The 19,855-nt window shown below is 42.5% G+C and overlaps 1 protein-coding gene and 1 long non-coding RNA gene across 6 annotated transcripts in view; one reads left to right on the top strand and one right to left on the bottom strand.

Moving 5' to 3' along the window:
* NPSR1 (neuropeptide S receptor 1) overlaps positions 1-19,855 on the bottom strand; it is a 220,115-nt gene that overhangs the window by 28,845 nt on the left and 171,415 nt on the right. For 4 of the 5 annotated variants that reach the window (NM_207173.2, NM_001300933.2, NM_207172.2 and 1 more), the window contains 3 exons: positions 15,028-15,104; positions 4,506-4,592; positions 825-1,005 (listed from right to left, as the gene is read on the bottom strand). In NM_207173.2, the coding sequence (NP_997056.1) occupies positions 825-1,005; positions 4,506-4,592; positions 15,028-15,104 (345 nt within the window). Of the gene's footprint in view, positions 1-65; positions 166-824; positions 1,006-4,505; positions 4,593-15,027; positions 15,105-19,855 lie in introns of all 5 variants that reach the window. The other variant, NM_001300935.2, reaches the window with a different exon arrangement.
* NPSR1-AS1 (NPSR1 antisense RNA 1) overlaps positions 15,157-19,855 on the top strand; it is a 487,820-nt gene continuing 483,121 nt past the window's right edge. The window contains exon 1 of the long non-coding RNA NR_015356.2: positions 15,157-15,327. This is a non-coding gene — a long non-coding RNA (NPSR1 antisense RNA 1). The remainder of the gene's footprint in view (positions 15,328-19,855) is intronic.

Raw genomic sequence — 19,855 nt, 5'->3', positions numbered from 1 at the left:
TAGTTATGAAAAATGTATTAAATGTCAGACAACTGTGCCAGGCACTTTACATGTAATACCCTGACCTTCCTTCTCCATGACTCACAGCTCTCCTTCTCACTGGTCAGCACCAGAGCCCAGAGGACAGAGACATCACAGGCCAACAGGTAGACACTGCTATTAGCCCTGTTTTACAGATGAAGAAGCTGAGGTTTACAGATGTTAAATAACTTGCCCAAGGTCACACATCGCTACGAATAAACAATGGCAAGATATAAACTTCAACCACTGGCATTAAGCCCAAGACTTAAATCATTCTCCTCTTGTATCTCCTATGGAATTCTCCACCTACCCTCTGTGGCTTATGCAGGAAAACAGCTGAAAAACAGCAGAAAAACAGAAGAATGACAATAACTGTGGGAGGGATTTAATTTCAGCTCTGCTAATTATTCATATAAACTCAATGATGCTATTAACCATGTAAGATTTACTTTGTTTATCTGTAAAATGGTAATAAGGCTCCATGTCCTATTATTGTCATAGAATTGTATTGAGGCAATTCATGTGAAGATGCTTTGAATAAAAGCAAGGTCTTCTAGATGTGTCATGATTAAGGCGGTTTCTATAGGAGGTGTTGTGGTATAGGAAAAAGCACATCAGCTGTGGCCTGGGCCAGGGTTTGAATCAGCCATGTTAGTGGAATCTTTCTGACTCTCAAGCCTCTCATCTATAAAAGGGGGATCCTGTAACCTGCTGGAGAGTTTGGACATGAGAAACCCACATGTTGGCAGAATCCCAGTGCAATGGCCATCAGTGTGTCTGACCCATGCAAGAGCTCCCCTTACCTGCAGGGGAAAGAGATGGAGCTGCTGAAGACACAGTAGATGAGGGGGTTGATGGCACTATTCAATGCTGGCAGGTTCTGAATGATCACAGAGGCATAGAAACGCTCCTGGGTGTCTGGAAGGAGGTTGAAATTGTCCAAAATGTCAAACAGGAAGTATGGACTCCAACAGCAGATGAAGGCTGGGGGAGAAGAGAGCCATTAGCATCACAGCAGGTAGCAGTTGAGGGGTCTCTTTTGGTTGGTCCTGACTGGACTTTTACCTGAGAGGTTCTTTGGGACCTGGAATTTCTCAGAAATATTGGAGTTTGATGTTGTTTGGAGCATTGATGTCATATTCACTTAAACACATACACACATATATATGGACACATCTTACAGACATGTTCCTAAAACTGAGCAAAGGTTGTAGAGCTTCTCTATCTGTAAAGAAGGGTCAAATTTCTACTGCTGTGGATTCTTTATAGAAACCCCAGGAACAAGTGACTATGGCCATAGCCTCTCATCAAACACAGGGATCAGGAAAAAACAGCAAAATACTTTGAAGACTCTCTAGGAAAAGACAGAAGAACAGGAAGCATTTTGACCACGTAGTGACTACTGGTTTTAGGTTATGTCAGGGAGAAGGGGTGATCACAATATTTTCTAAGCACACCCCAGTTTAATGACAGTGTTCTCTTTCACCCCTAAGTTGGCCTCTCCAGAAAACACCCACACTATGCCCTTCTCTAAATCCATTAGTATGTGTGAGACACCAGTTTATTTGGCCCCAAATTCTCAAAAGAAATGGATGAAAGGTGGGGATTCAGGTGTGATGGTTAATTTTGAGACTACTTGACTGGGCTGCGGAGTGCTCAGATATTCGGTTAAACGCTATTCTGGCTGTGTATGAAGACGTTTCTGGAGGAGAGTAACATTTGATCTGGTAGAGTAAGAAAAGCAGATTGCCCTCCCCTGTTTGTGGGCCGCATCCAATCTGTTGAAGGCCTGAGTCATAGAAAAAGGTTAAGTAAGAGAAGATTCACTCTGCTTGCCTGTCTTCGAGCTAGGACGTTGGTCTTCTCCTGCCTTCACACTTGGAATCAAACTGAAATGTACCCCATCCATTCTCCTGGTTTTCAGGCCTTTGGACTCAGACTTGGACTAGAACCTACACCATTGGCTTTCCTGGGTCTCCAGCTTCCAACTGCAGCTTGGGAATTCTCAGCCTCAGTAATCACCTGAGCCAATTCCTTCTAATAAACCTCTCTCTCTCTCTCTCTCATTTTCCTCTGGAAAGCACAGACTACGACACAGAGCTAAACACTCCTAAGTTGACTGGAAATACACGCATCTCTCATTTTCTCACCATAAATTCTCCACTCTCCTTCTCCCACTTTCTCATCCATAGAATTTTTTCTCGGAGTAGAAGTTTGGCTTCCTTGGCTGTCTGCATGCAGGGACAAGCTTTCCGTCATAACTGTGTAATGTGGATTCTGTAACTTGTTGGGAATTTTGGAATGATAAACTGACTCATGTTTCCCCTCTCGACCCCAGACCTTGGCAATGTATTAAAGAGGAGCAATTCAAACACAAAACCCACTAAGTGTTCTGGATCCTGATTAATTAACCCAAACACTGGCGCTGAACAGTATTTGGGGCACTAAGGGGGCAAATGGCCTTGTGTGCTTGGGTGTTTCCATGTGTGTGTAAGTTGGGTTGGAGGATTCAAGTTTTCACAGGGATACCAGTCCTCTGGCATGGTACACGCAGCCCAGCCAGCAAAGATTTGTATCTACTTTGAATGTCCATTCATGTAGAGGAGAACCCTCTATATAGTTATCCCTGACTTTGTTTTACACATAAACACAGGTATTTTAAATAAATATTGAAATTTGTAGAAATGCAATTCTGTTGTAAATGGAGGAAAGATTACTTTGTTTAATTCAAAATTTTACAAGGATTTTTTCTTTTTGCCGGCTGAGAAAATCAAGTCACTGACAGTAATACCGCTTACATTTTTTTATGTCTCCATGAAAATACACCTGTATTGGTTTTCATTGTGGCTGTTATTATGTCACGGTGTAGGTGTGACTACTTCATTATTCTTCTAGTGTAGCTGTGCTTATGTTTTTACACATTAAAATTGGTATACATTTTAATTAATAAAAATAGTATTGTTTCATTTTAGATTATTTTCTTATTCCTCTTTTATATTATTTTTTGGGCAATATATTAATGTTTAAATGATCATGGTAGGTAGTATAAGTAGGCATTTTATTTCAAGGTGGGAAAGGGACATTACAAAGTGTTTGCTATAGAAAGGGCCCTTTTGGTCTGGTAGGGCTGTCAATATTTGCTGACCCTCTAGAGGGTGTTCCTGCTTGCTGACTGAAGGGATCCCACAGGGCCTTGGAGTATGGTTGCTGATGATAAAGGGCTATGCAGGCTCTGGGACACACTTGTAAACATACATTTTCCAACTCAACATCCAGGGAAGGTGCATCTGTGCTTCTGACTATCTGAGAAGACAGAGGAGTCTTTGATCCACTTCAGAAGCCTCTCAGAAAGTTTTTGAGCCCTGGTGGGTTGTATATGTTTTATCCCAGTTCCGCCTGCAGTGTTGTTTTGTGCCTACGTCCTGCTGGCTGAGTCATGCTGCATGTGGTCTGTTTGGCATTTTGCAGTTGCGTTTCAGAAAGGTGAGAAGACTGTTCTGGTGCTTTGACATGCAGCTAATGGGAGATCTATACTTCCTTGGAGCTTCAAGAGCTGCCAGAGGGGCAAGGAGGGGGTATTTAAGCTAAATAAAAAAGAAAATAGCACAAATCCCTTTCCTTCTTGCATAGTTTCATTCATTCATTCATTCATTCATTCGACAAATGTTAATTGAGCAGTGTGTAGGAGACCCTATTTTAGGTCTTGGTGATAATATAAGTAACACAAAAGCCAAAGTCATTGCCCTCATAGATTTATTACTCCAACAGGGGAGACAGACTATAAGAAAATCAATCTATATCCTGTAGTGTGAGGTAGAACCAAGAAGAAAAATAAGGCAGAGTAAAGACTAGAAAAAGGATATTTAAAAAGACTTATCAAGGAGCCCTCAGGGAGGTGGCGTTGTTGGGGAACAAATGAGATTAGGAAGTAAGCCGGGGCACCACCGGAGAGCAGAGCATTTCAGACAGGAAATAGTACAAGGTGACTTTATGAGTCTTAAGAGTAGAGAGAAAGGAAAAGGAAAGGGCAGAAGACAGGAGGGTGGAAGGACAGGTAAGGTGCCATAAGGGGGAAATTTGTAGTGAACCTAACATCAAATATTCAGATAAGGTGGAAAGTCACTTCTATCTTCTTTTTCCTTGTGAACCCCAGCCCTGGGGAACAGTGTGTCTTAAAGGAAGTGACTGAGTTAGCTGGTGATGTGAGCATCCACTTCAGCTAGTTAGGTCCTAATCAGATTTTCTCCAAATTATTCAACCCATAGCCTTGGCAGGCAGCTGTATTCATAAGGAGAGGGATTAGGAACCAAATGTCAGCCCTTGAAGGAACCATGAATGGGCTGATGAGTTTCACACATTCCTTTCTAAGCAGACCGATGTAGAAGTGCCTGCTGGCAAATTCCTTTCTGTCACCAGGTCCCAGGAGCAAACTTGCTTTTGGGACGTTCATACCACTTTACAGCTCAAGGAGGGACATTGCTTACCAAGAATGATGATGATGCTATACTTGATAGCCTTGATTTTTGCCTTTGAGATGAGTCCTCGGTTATAGCTGCTGCACAGTTTCCCATCTGTAGATACAAGAGGGGAATAGTAAGATGAAGTGTTCAAGATGTGACAGTTTCTGTTTCAGCCAATAGGAACATTAAAGGTTAGACTCCAGTTTTCACTTATATCCTGTGCATTTATGCCCAGATGGCCTTCCTTGGAAATTTTTAGATTAAAGTTGGTTCTGGGCTGGTTTCTGGAGAATGCTCAGTTTACACCTTAATATTATATGAAAATGGTATGGAATGCTCAGACTCTCTCAAGAGACTTGGTCAGATGGCCTGAACAGCTGCAGCTGAAATTAGACTATGTGACCATGCAGGAGCTGAGGGCTTCCCTGAGGAGTGCTACTCTCTAAGCCCTGGCTATGCTGAGACACCCATGTGGCCACTTTAGCAACCTAGGCAAAGTTACTTTCTAAAATGGTTGCCCCAGACAAATACATTCATCAAAAAAAAAACAAAAAAACAAAAACAAAAAAACGCTCTCAAGAAAAGCTCAAGCCAGGGGTATCAGAACTCTCCAAAATAGGAGCTTGGATATACATTTTTTTCATGTAGACTGTTGTCTGATGGTGAACACTGAGGGGTAAATATAAGAATCTACTAGATTGATGAGGACAGGGGCTTTGTTTTTCGCACTCCTGTAGCCTAAACACATATTCAATGACTAACACAAATATGTTGAATGAATCAATAACCACGTCTCATTAGTCGAGCAGTGGTAAAACAAAGAGATAAGATTAGGCTAGGCAGGATCCAGTGCAATAGGTCTTAGTTAAAGTAGTGATTACCTATAAATTTGGGGATAAAAATGTCAGATGTGGTGTCCCTTTCCTCATGGAAGAGTTTCTACTGTCAGGGCTTCCACCAGCCCATATGCCACCTTTGTGAAGTTTTGGAAAAGGGGCCCTTGCTCTGATAAGCACAGGCCTGCCTAGAGCACACATTCAGTGAGGGAAATATGAAGAGAATGCCAGCCCCACACAACTCTCAGCCAGGAGCCACCCAGTGGGGCTCAATGGGCACAACCCTAGTGGTGGCCCTGGTCAGAGGCCCACTCAGTGCGTCGAAGTCACATGGAGTAGGGCAGCTGTGCACTAGAAAGGCAAACTGCTGTGCTCCATTGTCTTCACTGCACTGCCCAGCTCTCACGTTTGAAATTTATTTTAATGCCCATGGAAACCAGTCAGATGTTTACCTTTGCAATATTCATTCAATCCCACCTCCAATCTGATCTAGTCCAACCCCACAAGTATAGCACATCTGCTAAGAGATAAGGGCTGACTAGAAGGGCTGAAATATAGTACTTGTTCTCTAAGAATTTTCAATCCAGCATGAAAGATCACACACTCTCCATAAAACTGGTTGAGATGAGCGAGATGCTGCTATGGTTTGAATGTCCCTGCGAAAACTCATGTGTAAATTTAATTGTCATTGTAACAGTATTGGGAGGTGGAGCCTTTGAGAGGTGATTAGGCCACCAGGGCTTGGCCCTTATGAATGGATTATTGCTATTATTGTGTTATTGTGGAAGTGGGCTTCTGATGGAATGGACGAGTTTGGCTTGACGTTCTCTCTGTCTTGTGTGCTCGCTTTCGCCCTCTGTTTTCTGCCATGGGATGACCTTTGCCAGTTGCAAGTGCCCTGCTCTTGGATTTCCCAGCCTCTAGAACCATAAGCCAAATAAATCTCTTTTTTTAAAAATAAATTTCCCAGTCTGTGGTATTCTGTTATAGCAGCAGAAAATGGACTAAGACAGATAGAAACCAACTGTGGACAGAGGAGAGACCCATCCTTCCACCACTGTGCTGGGGAGGCTGTGTGGGAGATGCAGAGAGCATCAAGTGAACTCAAATGACATAAGAAGGATTCCAAGACAAAGGCGGGGTGCAGCGTGGGAATAGGAGAGGTGGGAGGCAGAGAGTGAACATCCTCAGCCAAGACATGGAACAAGAAAATGTAGGATGCGTTTTAACCACAGTGAGTCATATTGCTTGGCTGTAGCCTACAAATGCGTGGAGAGTGGAGGAGAGAACTGAAGGCAAACTGGGGAGGCCTTGAATGTCTTTCTGAGGAGCTTGGGCTGAACTCCTGAGGCGGCCGCAGGCCATTGAAGTTTCTGAGTGTTTTTGTAGTGTGAACATTTACTCATTGCAGAGGACAAATGATTTTCAAGAGTAACAGGAATAGGGGCTCTTTAAGTACAAAGGAAAACTGCTAATTATAATTAATTCATAGTTCTTAAAGCATACCCTGTAAGGCCACTCCTAACTACTATTAGGGTCTTCAAATTATTCTGTGCGTTTCATGGGACCACGAACCTCCGCCTTGTAAGAAAGCAAATGCTTCAGAACATTTAGAGCAGTGATTCTCCATTGGGGGTGATCTTGCTTTACAGGGAACTTTTGGCAAAGCCTGGACACATTTTTAATTGTCACAATTGTGTGTGCATGTGTGCTACTGGCGTCTAGTGGGTAGAGACCAGGAATGTTGCTAAACATCCTTCAATGCACAGGGCAGCCTCCACAACAAAGAATTATCCAGTCCAAAATGCCAAAGGTGTCAAAGGTGAGAAACCTTGATTTCTAGGATGGGATCTTGGGAAGGACACAGGCTTTAAGATCAGACTGGAATGCATCCTCCGTCTCTACCAATTACTAAAACTTTGTAAACTTAGGCAAATCGTCTAAAGTTCCCGGCTTCAGTTCTCCCATTTAAAAATTGAGGTGTAGAACACCTAACTCACAGAGTTACTTTGAAGATTAACATAAAATAATATATTCAAGGAACCAAGCCCCAAGCTTGGATGTTGGATATCTTATCAGTTGAGATGAATGCAGTTTTAACAGTATTTCAGGTGGAAGGTGAGCCATCTTTATGAAAGTGAACAGAAGGTATTATTACGTTTGATTGTCTATTATACAAGGTTGTTATCTGTGTAAGAATTATGTACAGCAGAAAATGATCTGGGTGAGATTATACCCATGGGCTGCAAGTAAAGAAGACAGCAGACCAAATTATATTCTTTCAAAGTGTCCCCACTGGCTGTTCCTAGGCAACAGCTGGCCCCTAAACAGTATGGCTCTGAAGACTAAGTTGGTCTTTCAGAAAAGTTTTCGAGAATGACATTTGTGCTCTGAAATCCCTTTAAAATGGAAACCCGCAGTGCTTCCCACAGGGCAACTGGGTGACAGTATAATCATCTACCTGCCCAGAGATCAGTGAAAAGCATCTTTAATCTGACCATTCCAGGAAATGCAAAGCCTCTAGCTTCTAAAGATGGCCCTTCAGAGAGAGCTGAGCTACGAAATGCTGGTAATTCTCCTTTATTGGGAGATAAAAGGATTATTTCTACTCAGGCCTTGGTGCTGAGCTGCAGTGAAAAGCAGTTAAATTCAGCTGTCACTGTGCATTAATCGGGCTTGGGTAGCCTGAAAGTGGCACGTCCATTCGATTTGGGACTGGGAGAAGCACACTGATGTGGACTGTTTTAGTTCCACAGTATATCCCTAATGGGGACACATGCTGAAAATTTAGTCTCCAAATGGCCATTTCTGGCTCTTCACCTTCCCAAGACCACAGGCCTCTTACAGAGCCACTGGGAACCCATTCTTCATGCAGGCTGAGCACCTGAAGTGGGAGCAATTGGTACCTTGGGATTTCAAATGGAAGCAGAATTGTTTCCTGGGAGGTAGTGGGGGGAATTCATCTGTGGACCTATAAAGAGTGCAGGTGATTTGTTTAGAAACATGGAAGTCTAACTGGCAATATTTTAAAATAAATATGCTTCCTATATTAGAAACTTTGTGTATGTTAGGTTGATTTTTAAAAACTTCAACATTATTTTTAGCAGTTTTTCCTGATTTCTAAAATTCTTGAAACTTGAAATTCATTTTGAACAGTAACATTCTCTTTACTAATATAGCTTGAATACCCCCTGAACTCATCAGTTCAGTATTTTAAGCACATTAGGTCTCATCTGTTTAGCTGCAGGACTGCAGTCAGTTTCTTCCCAGGGTGTCTTTGTCCCTCTAGTTTTTCTGAGAGACCCAAGGAGGTGTCTCAGTGTTCCAGGATCCACCCAGGCCACCGCCTGTGCCTCTATGGTGACGCTCTCTGGATCCTGCTTTCTAGGCTCGCTGCAGCTGCCCTGGGCTGCCCCAGGTCACTTCACCCAGACCTCTTCTTTGCCAATGACTGCCTCTTGAGGGGCTCCGGCTGGGCAGCAGATGCTCCACAGCCACAGTCACTTCAAAGCCACATTGTGAGTCCTCTTCATTATTGCTCTTGACCCTGAGCAGTTGCTTTGCTCTTCTGCTCCACCTCTCAGGGCCTCAGTTCTGTCCCTGGGCTGTGGGTTATTCAGCACTGCTGCTCTTCCCGGGGATACCTGCTCTCCAAGTTCTTCTGCCAGGAAGCAAGGGAATGGCCTCTCTCCTCTGTGCTGTGCTATTCCAGGAGCTTGCAGCAGACTCTCTTGAACTCCCAAGAGTTTCAGCTTCTTTAGCCCACCACACAGCGTTTTCCTCCCTAGATGCTGACAAGTGGCTAGACTGGTTAGGTGGGAATGTTCTTCTGTGACCCAGAACTTACATTTCCCTTTGACCTTAAGGCACTCGTTGTGCCTGACTCTGTATTCTCCAGAATGTTTTCACATTCAGGGATCTTATTGTCCCTTTCTTGTCATCTGAGGTGCTCCCTCTCTCCCCATTAGCTGGGCATGGCTGCATATCTCTGAACCTTCAAGTAGGAAAGTATTTTGCATTCCCTTTCAGGAGGTTTTTAGCCCAGAGCCAACTGTAAATTGTAGCTAGATATGAGAAGATTTCACCTAACCCACCAGATAGCCCTTTCTATACCTCAGCACCTCAGCTCAAGCAGAAGCAGGAGCCCTGACAACCTAAAATAATTATGCAAAGACAGACGAGCTGTTCACAAAACCCATTCCTGTTTCCCCAGGGCACACAACTAGACTACAATTCCCAGCCTGCCTTCCAGCAGTGTGTAGTCATGTGACTAAGATCTGCCTAAGGGACGCTGGGAAGAGTCAATGTCTACCACCCCAAACCTTGCTCAGATACCTCTCCTGAGCAGTCCTCCACTCTCTCTCTTCCCCTGCCCCTGCTTGCTGGAGGGAGGTGCTGAGGAGTACCTTAGCAGCCCTCTGTTAAGCGTGGCAGAATCTCCACCTGCTTGAATTTCTGAATGACTGTGTGGAACAATGCCTTTCCCTCTGGTCTTTATTGCCAACTGGATTTTAATTAAGACATAAACTTCTATGTGGTTAAGGCTACTGATATTTTGGGTTTACACAGCTGCTAGTGTTTCCCTTCTAAAGTAGAGATTGGTACCTCATATGCAGTGCTGTCTTAATGAAAACCTGAAACATGTAGCATTGGATTTGTGGGCAGGCAGCAGGTAGCAAGGAAACTGAGGTTTCCATTTGTCTATTGTGCCAATACCGCACTCTGACTTTACAATGCATTTCAATATTTGGTAAACCGAACTTTCTCTACCTTGTTCTGCATCTCTAGGAATGTCTAGGCTACTCATGTCTCTTGAATTTTCCTTGTCTATTTTAAAATAGGCTTGTGAAGCTCAATAAAATGTTTCAATTCAATTTTGATTGGAAATTTATTAACTTGTAGATCAGCTGGGGAGATTCAACGTCTTTATGATATTGAACCTTACTATCCACGAACATGTCATAATCTTCATTTATTTGTATCTTTATGTTTTTCTGTCACATCTTTTATTAAATGTAGTTAATTGTAGAGAAGCCATTTTATTCACAGTTACTGATGAAGAAGCTGATATGGACAGCAGTTAATGGGCTTCTCTTAAATTTTTTAAGCTAGAAAGTGAATAGGGCTCTAACCCAATTCCTAATCCATAGCTTTTTTTCTTCACTCTAGTATGCCTCATTTAATTAAAAACATGGAATTTGGATATAGCATGGATCATATCCACCAAGCCATGATAGCTAGACATAGTTATAACGAGAAATTTGTCTGTTCCATGGGTACACTTGCCCATGCAGTAAATGTTCTAGTTTGTACAAGTAAATCCTCCTGGACATCAATAATATGCTCATTTATGAAAGATAACATACAGGATTGGAAACCCCATCTCCTCCACGTCTTGCCCTCCATGCTTGTTTATGGGAAAGTCTTTAGATAATTTATGATACAGTTCTTTTTCTTTTCCTTTCTGTCAGCCTTTGACTGGGAGAAAATAGACATATTTGCCAGTAAGAAGAGTGGTTCTCGCACTAAGGATGGCTTGAGCTTTTTAGCCAGTGTTTACAAAGTGAGCTTCTGTTCACACTAATCATGGCTAATGTCCCCTTGTTGATGAGCAATAATCCTGGCATGCGGACCCAGCTGGAGATCCGATTTACCTGCCAACTCCAGAGCTGCTTGGCTGTAATGACAGATGGGAAATCAACTGTGTTCCTTTTACGAATAAGATATAGAGAGCATATAAGCTTCTGAGAATACCAGCTGCCCTCATTTCGGGATGAGGTCACTAATGGTAACTGAAAAATAGATATAATGGAGATATAAAACTATATTAAAGAATAAAAAGTGGCGGTAGCCATTTCCACCTTTGGGAGGGAGTAATGGCATACTCTATATCAGTGGGAAACAGACCTCCAAGTGGCTTTGTACAGTTTCAAGGACTGGAAGTCAGGGGAGCCCAAGAGTGCAAGGACTGGCATATGTAGTAGCAGGAGACATGGGAACTTTGGAGAGAGCCAGGAAGTCAGCCTCCCTGGGGGGAGGCATGCTGAGGAAGGTGGTGAGCAAGGGCGGTGCTGCTGTGGAGGGAACAGGAGAGCTGTAGGAGGTGAGACAGTGAGAGTGAGTGCTCAGAGGGACAAGCAGGGAGGAGCATGTCAGACCCATGGAATTGGCAGAAACCACAAGACAGGGGTTTACACCAATCTGATTCGTCTGAAAGTACAGGAAGACCTTGGCTACCTCCACAAAATTGGTCTCCACACTGCCAGTCATGACTCAGCCTTTAGATTTTAAATATATCAAAACAAAACCTTCAAGAGATGAGGTAGGAATAGCTCTCTGAAGGCAGAGCTCTGGAGGGAGTGTCCAGGAAAGGAAGCCACACCCAAGACCCTGAGTTTGTGTTTTTAATTTTTAAAAAGTCTTGTCTTTATGTGTGCATTCGATATGTGTGCATTTGAATACCAGTTGTGTCACATGCTACCTGTGAAAACAAGCAAACTGCTTAACCTTAGAGCCTGTCTTCTGTCTGTGAGAGACAGTTAATAACACCACCTCAAAGAGTTGTGGATTAACCCATTTACTGTTTAGAAAAAAAAGTGCAACTCACTGCCTGTGCAGTATTCTCAAACGGGAAATGGGTTAAATGGGAAATGGGCAATGGGCCATGGGTGAAATGGGGCAAACAGGAAATGAGTTAAAGGGAAGAACACAAGGAAAGGACCTAGCAGTGGCAGACAGGAGCTGCTCCATCTGTCCCTCTGACTTGTCTGTCTGTGTTGAGATGAGTGGACGATGGCTTTGAGTGGGCCTTAGAGGGTCTAAGCATGACATTTATACAGAGAAGTGCATGGCAAATATATGTTTTGTGGGGCCTGACTTGATGGTTTTAAAAAATGAATATACATATATACATCTAGGATAATATTGGCTGTTTACTCAGGCTAAAGGGCCACAGGGCAATTGTTTCAATTGTATGATTTAGGTAACTGTAGAGAATTTTAACACATGGCTAAGTGGAAAACAGAAGAAAACAAAAATCACCTAAAATTCGACCACTCAGAGATAACTGCAATAACATTGATAACATTTAGCTTCTTGATATTTTCCATCTCCCTCTCTCTCTAGCTATCATCTGTCTATACAGGCACATATATATTCCGCTAAGTAAAAATATGTGCACATATCTATAAAAGGGATACCATACTGCTTTCTTTTTCTTAATGTACTATATTGGAGAAATATTTCTATGGCAATAAGTACACTCTCTATAATAATTTTTAGAGCTGTAGCATTTAATTGTATGGCTATATAATTATTATGCTCAGTTCCCTCATTGTAGGATATTCAGATCTTTTCAGTTTTTCATGAATATAAACAATATTTCCTATATTTTTTTCTTTCTCTTTCTTCCCCCCCGCCTCTCTTCTTCTACCCATCTTTCCTTTCCTTTCTTTCTTTTCCTTCCTTCCTTCCTTTCTCCCTCCCTCCCTCTCTCTCTTTCTTTCTTCTTTCTGTCTTTCTTTCTCTTTCTTTCTTTCTTTCTTCTTTTCTTTCCTCACTCTTTCTCTCTCACTCTTTCTTTCTCCCTCATTCTATCTTTTGTTCTTCGTTTCATAAGGAGTGTATTTCCTTGTAGCATATGATACAACAATCTAATATATGATTGTTTCCATATGGGCAGTTGTCTCAACATTAGTAATTAAACAGTTTCTATTTCTCTATCAGTTTAAAATACTTCATCACATTCTAAATTCCTGAGGTTTCCTTTGGCATTTCTGTTCTGTTGGATTTCCCTGTCCATATAATTCTCTTTCAATGATTTTAGTATTATAATTATAGTACTTACTGCATTTATTTGATATCTGATAGAGGAAGGATGTCTTCATCCAATTTTTTTTTTGGACAAATATTCTAACTTTTAACCAAAGCCAACTGCACTGAATAGAATGAATTCACTTGTGTTTATTCTCTCTGATTGCTTTTGCTCTTCCAGAAAAACCAGGGTGTGGAGACTGCACCAGTGGAAGGGAAGCACTAGGATCTGCATGGGGGCTGGAATTAGCCCCAAGCTGAATGACTGGGTCTTCGTGGGTTGAAAATTTCCAAGCAGCCTAAGCACATCTCTTGGTTACACTGGTCAGTCAGTGTGAAGGTCAGCCACCTATGACTCTGTGTCTCACTGGACCAGATTGTCAAACCTGGTTGAACATTAAAAATGCCTGAAGAGCTTTTCCGAAATAATAAAATCCATGCCCCACTCCAGATGGAGTGAATCAGAATCTCTCAGGGAATGGTGTCTGGGTTTCGGTGCATTGTAAAACCTCCCCAGGCGATTCTACTGTGTAGCCAGGGCCAAGACCCAAGGCCCTAGACTGTAAGCTGCCTATAGTCAGGAACCATGCTATTCATTCTTTGTCATTTCCAGTCCCTGTACCACTCCTGACATGCAGAAGAGTACAGAAGAATTGAACTGAATTCAGGTGAAGAACCCAGACTTATGTATCTCCACTCATACTTCTAGGGAAAGAGACACAAGTTATCAGTGCCCGATAATACTTGTGCATCCTCTTGGTGGCCTCACAGTCTTATTGGAAAAAGTAGCTTTAAGAGGGAGAAAACAAGCTCTGTCTTGGTCCAACAAAAGTTTAGCTCACAGTCTGAAAAGAGGAGGGCTTAGGGAGAATCCAGTCTATCCCCTTATTTTAACCTCTTGGAGCCCAGGGATTAGATAACTTTGCCAGGTGGCACAGCTCTTAGTGGTACATCTGGAACAGAAAGTAGCTCTTCTTATTCCAGATATTTGTGGTATAGCTTGTTGTCCTTGTGTGAGTGCATATAAGTGTGAGTATGCATTGTTAGTGTGTGTGAGACTGAGTGTGTGAAGGTGTGTGTATTTGTGTATATGAGCCTACATTGTGTGTATGTGTGTGCACAAGGAATGGGAGGGGTGTGGAAGCTGAGCGGAGCCAGTCTTCTTCTGCAGACCTATCACATTATAGCAACAGAAAACTAGAAGCCCTTTCTTCTTTTGGCCCCTTGGTTTGCTGTGTTTTCTCCAGGTTGACCTTGGTCAGGTCCAGTAATGTTTTCCTGGGAAGCAGGGTAGGCTTCCAGGGCTCAGAGTCTATTGCATACGAGAGGCTCTGCATTCAGGTTTACTGAGAAGGAATGTGGGGAAGAGTTGTAGTAGGTGGTCTTAGGCTTCATCTGGTTTGAATTGGTGTGTCAGTTGGGAAAGCATGGACTACCGTGCCTTTACTGGCTAAGGGTCCAAGATTGTTCTATGGACAGATGGCAGCTTTATGTATCTGAAAATTCAAGCCAATCAGAAAAGCCTATGCTCATCTTTGCTGAAGGTGTGATGTCCTCCTTGGACAGTCTGTCTTTTCTTATCTGTGTCCTCCAAGGTGCTTCTTTGCTAGATCTGAGGCTGGGGTAACCCTTGGATCCTAGGTCAAAGGCTAACTCTCTGCTGGCATAGCTTGACCAGGTCCAAAGTGCCCCCTTCCTTCTCCTAGATTTCAGGGAGGTCACATGGGGGAAGACAGAGCCCGCCTGTGACAGCCTTTGGTGGGTCTGGTCTGCCGGCTGGGTCCTGATATGATCCTGTATGCTTGTGTATCAAGGAGTCCCTAGCTCACATTTGCTAGAAGAAAACCTCTGGAGAAGCAAATTAGCCAAGAATTGGGCCATGCAGAGTAGAGACTTACCTGAGCAGTTGGAAATCACTGTTTCGTAGGTTTTGCTTTTAATCCAAATAGTTCGGATCACAATGCCATACATGATGCTGCAGAAAGAACCAAAGGTAGTATTAAAGTGACTGGTGGATCCCTACTGTGAGGACACAGAGAAGACCACTCCCACCTCCCCGAGTGCAAGGTGTGAAGGGACAGATCTTTTAACCATGCCTGCCCCCTTATACTTGCTGTTCATAGAATTGCAACTGAAAGTGACCATGAGGATCCACTGGATGGAGTTACTTCTTTCTTAAGTGAGGAGGCTAAGACCTGGTAAAGTTATGCAGTTTCCTCAAGGTAGCCCAAATGGTTTGAGGGAGAGCTGTGATTAGAATCCAAAAACAGGCCTTAGAGTCAGAAAAACTTGGGTCTCCTCTACTTGTCTGTTGTACAGTCCTGACTTTAGACAGTCTTTTAAATGACATCTATGATCCCTGATTCTGGCATTCATGGCTTTGTTGATCCTCACCCCTTTAGTGTGGGAAGAGCAGGTGACTTGCCTCTAATCAATGCAATGTGGCAAAGGGGATGGGACTGATTACATAGAATGTAGTGCCTGTCTTGTTGGTGTCTCTATGCATTGCTGGCTTTGAAGAAGCAAGGTGCCATGAATCCCACAGCTGCAAGAAAATGAATTCTGCTAAGGACCTGAGGGAGCTTGGAAAAGAGCCTCTCCCAGTCCAGCCTCTGATGACCCCTGCCCTGGATAAACAACTTGAATGGCTGCCTTGCATGAGCAGAGGACCCGGTTAAGCCACGGCCAAATTCTTGACCCACAGAAACTGTGAGATAACAAATGTATCTTGATTTAAGTCACTAGGTTTGTGGTGATTTGTAATGCAGTAATAGATAACTACTACACTGAGCCTCAGTTGAGGTTCTACAAAATGGTGTTAACAATACAGACCTCTCGAACTTTTTGAGTATCAGATGTGACAATATTTAAAGTGCCAAGTACGGTGCTGGAAAATTAGTAGAGACTAATTTCCTTTCTCCTCTTTTTTGCCTATTTTTTATACTATATCACACCAATTCTTACATGATTTAATCTGTGCCTAACAGGAAAACAAAGTGTTAAGGATTCAAAAGTGTCAGCAAGTTTTCTATCCTAGGTACTCTTTGATAAATATAAAAACTACTCTTCTTTAATATTACTTGATATTTTGACTACATTAAGCATCTTGACTAAAAACTTTGGGACAAAGCAATGCTTTATTTTAAAACTGTGTATCTTCCCTCTTGAGAATTATTTTAAAAAATCAGAGCTTCAGTTTGCAGTAGCCGACAAAGCACTAATTGCTTTTAATGATCTTTAGAATATAACTTAATTAATGGCAATGTTAAAATCTCTGCTTCTTACTGCCTTTTCCCATTCTTGCTGAGTGAACCCCTCCAAGTGCTCCAGGAAAGCTCAGGGACTTTTTTGGAGCATCTCCATTCTTTCTTATATAATTGCCCAGGGACTATTTTTGCAATTTGTATGCCTGCAGTAAAGAAAAAATGAGAAAAATGTTATTAGTGAGTTCAACCCTAAGTTGACTATTTGCTAGAACAGGGAAACTTCTTCCCCAGAAAGTGAAATACTGTGCAAGGTAAGGTTACACTCACCATGGAAAGTTAATGGTTATGTCAATTGCAACCCCAGTATTTAATTGACCAATAATTCAAATATTTATGGTTATCAACCATGTACACAGGGGAAAAGTTAAGAAATGTCTTATGCTTTAGGGATTTGGGCCTAAGTCACCCCTCTTTTTACTTAGGGCCAATCAGATGAGTGAGAACCAGTACCAGCTTTTCTGTTAGCATGGCGAACACCTAATAACTAGGGTATTATTGCCAAATCAGACTACTTCTTGGAGCTTAGTGATCAAGCATCAAAGAGACATCTGCGTTGCTGTGTGTCCCCATTTTTTTTTGGACACAGGGTTTTGCTCTCTCACCCAGGCTGGAGTACAGTGTCAGGATCATAGTTCACTGCAGCCTTGACCTCCCACCTCAGCCACCTGAATAGCTGGAACTACCAGTGTGCGCCACTATGCCCGGCTAATTTTTGTATATTTTATAGAGACAGGGTTTCACCATGCTGCCAGGCTGGTCTTGAACTCCCGGGCCCAAGAGGTCCACCTGCCTAGGCCTCCCAGAGTGCTGAGATTACAGGTGTGAGTCACCACACTTGGCTTTGTCTCTTTTCCTTTTTCCTTTATCTGATCAATCAGATTGCAGATAAGTTTTGTGGATTGTCCCTGCAAAATGACTCCATAATCTGTACCTTCCTCTCCATCCAGGTTTTCAGCATTAGTGGAGACCCTTACAATCTCTCTTTATTCATTTTGATGACTACTTTTATTGTGGGCCCTGTGATCCTCTTTGACCTTGGACCTTATGCCCATGGCCAGTGCTGGCCAGGTCCCTGGGGCGCTTTTACCCACCATGGCCATGTATTCTATCCACAGGGCTGCACCAACCTGGCATGGGGCTTTCCCACAATGTGATCCCATTTCCTAAGCAAAATAAATGAATTTTTCTCACATATGACAAATCAATGATCCATGACTAATGTGCTTTTTCCACTTTTTTTTTTTGCAATTGTCGGTTGTGAATCTCTTCTGCTTCTATCTTTATCTTACAGAGATGAAAATGATAAGAGAATGAAAAATCAATTAGGTAGCAAGAAAATAAGCACAGCTAAAGTAAAGCAATTACACCAGGGCTAATAACCTCCCCAGCAACAATTAGACAGTTATGTCAAGTGAATTTCAAAACAACTCCTGTTGTTTTGACCCAGAAAAACAATGTATTGCCTTTGCTGTCAGTCACTATGGTTTCAACTCCTGGGAGCCTGATTTAGTGGATGATGGAACAGCTACATCTTTATTCATACGCAGCTCTCATGAGAGTTTGCCACCAACAATACAACTGCCTCTCTCTCTCTCTCTTTCCCTCCCTCCCTTTCTTCCCCCCTCCTTTCTTTTCTCCCTTTCTTCTTTCCTCTCACATATATTTATGGAGGAGCTATCATATGCCAAAAACTGATCTAGGCATTAGATAGCCAGAAATTTCTATATTAGCAGTATGTGTACACGTGTGTTTGTGTGTGTGTGTGTGTGTGTGTGTGTGATGTGTGTGAGAGACAGAGAGAGAGAGAATGAGAGAGGGAGAGAAAGAGTAGAGAGAGTGACATGACACATCTGTTGTTCGGTGCAATTTATTGCGTTATTCATTCAATCTAATATTCACCAACTGTTTAGTGTGTGCTGGATGTGAAATCCAGAAATGAAGAGGCCACAGTCCCTGCACTCATGAGATACAGTCAAACTGCCATGAAGTCTAGATGACGACATGGACAAAGTGAGGTTGGAGGTTAGGGAGTGAGGACCTGAGGTGCCTCTTGGTCCAGGGTTGGCAAGGGAAGCTCTACTGTGGAGTTGGTATTGGAAATGAGACACAAGGGATGTGAACTAGTTGGGTGAAACAAGGCAAGGTGAGCTTGGCAGAGTGTTCAGGCATGGGAGTGATGCACATGGGCCAGAGGGGTGTTTGTTCCATGGCTGGAGCTGGGAGTGCAGGTGAGGCATCAGCAGCTCACCATGAAGCAGCCAGGGAATCTTTGAAAAAAAACAAGTAGATCTTGTCCTAGCAGATACTTAAATGCATACGAAGCTGGGCAATAAGTAAAACAATGAGGTATTTGTGGCAGAAAAGCCACTGAGTTAGTTATTTGTGCTTTTTCTTTTTTTCTTAATTACGTCAATCACTACTTTTAATAATCAAAAACAAAATAAAACCATACTCAATAGAGAGGCAAATGACAAATTAGGAGAAATATTTGCAACATATGCAAAAAGAAAAAGGTTATTGTATGAATAATTTCTAAAGATAGAGAATAGAGAAAATAAAAACATTTAAACAAGAAAAGTGGCATTACTTTCAATGGCAAAGTCCGCAATTACTTTTGCACCAACCTAATAAGTACTTTAAAAAAAACAAAAATGGCAAAAAGCATATAAAATATATTCAATCTCATTTGTAATGAAAGAAATGCAAAATAAAACAACTAAGATATGTTTTTTTTTCTGTCAATTTGGTAAATGTAGCATATATAGCATGCATGAAGGAGAATGAGGCATGGTGAACACGAGTGAACACTTTCCTTGAGCTGTTTTCCTTGTCTATTTAAGCTTGAAATGAAGAATTTAACCTTACTCAGAGAATTGAGCCCAGGGGGCCAGAATATAGGTAATAAAGACAGAATAAGAGTTGAACCTTATATCTGAGATGAAATTGTAGCACCTATGCCAGGTACTAGTTGGAAACAAGTTCCTCACAAAACTCGCCCCCCCAGGGCCTGGTCTTGTTTGAGAAGATAGTTGTTGCTGAAGGAGGTAGAGGATGTTAGTCCCCAAGAGAGAAGTTGTTTCTTCAGCAGCAGGGAGCCACGAAAGAGGGAAGGTGATGGAAGAGGAGCCTCTTGTCAGGTAGGAAATGCTTCAGAGAAGCTCAAGGATGGCTGGAGGTCATGGCTGAGTTTTCATGACCGTCACGGGCTGGAAGCAAGGAGCTAGGATCTGGCCTTCCAGAGGCTTTAGCTTGGTGAGAGCTGAGGGAAACCAGTTTTTGAAATCATTTCCCTCAATCAGCAAACACATTGTATTTTGCCCTTTCAAGGACACGAAAAAGACACACTAGCTAGCCCACAGGCAAGTTTGAGGAGAAGTCCTGGTGGAAAAAGCAGCCCAAATTAATGGGGAAATCATAGATACAGGATAACCTGAGCTGCGTGGTCCATGTGCTGCAGCAT

This window comes from Homo sapiens, chromosome 7 (genome assembly GCF_000001405.40).
Source record: "Homo sapiens chromosome 7, GRCh38.p14 Primary Assembly".
NCBI lineage: Eukaryota > Metazoa > Chordata > Mammalia > Primates > Hominidae > Homo > Homo sapiens.
This window is presented reverse-complemented; position numbering and strand designations above follow the sequence as displayed.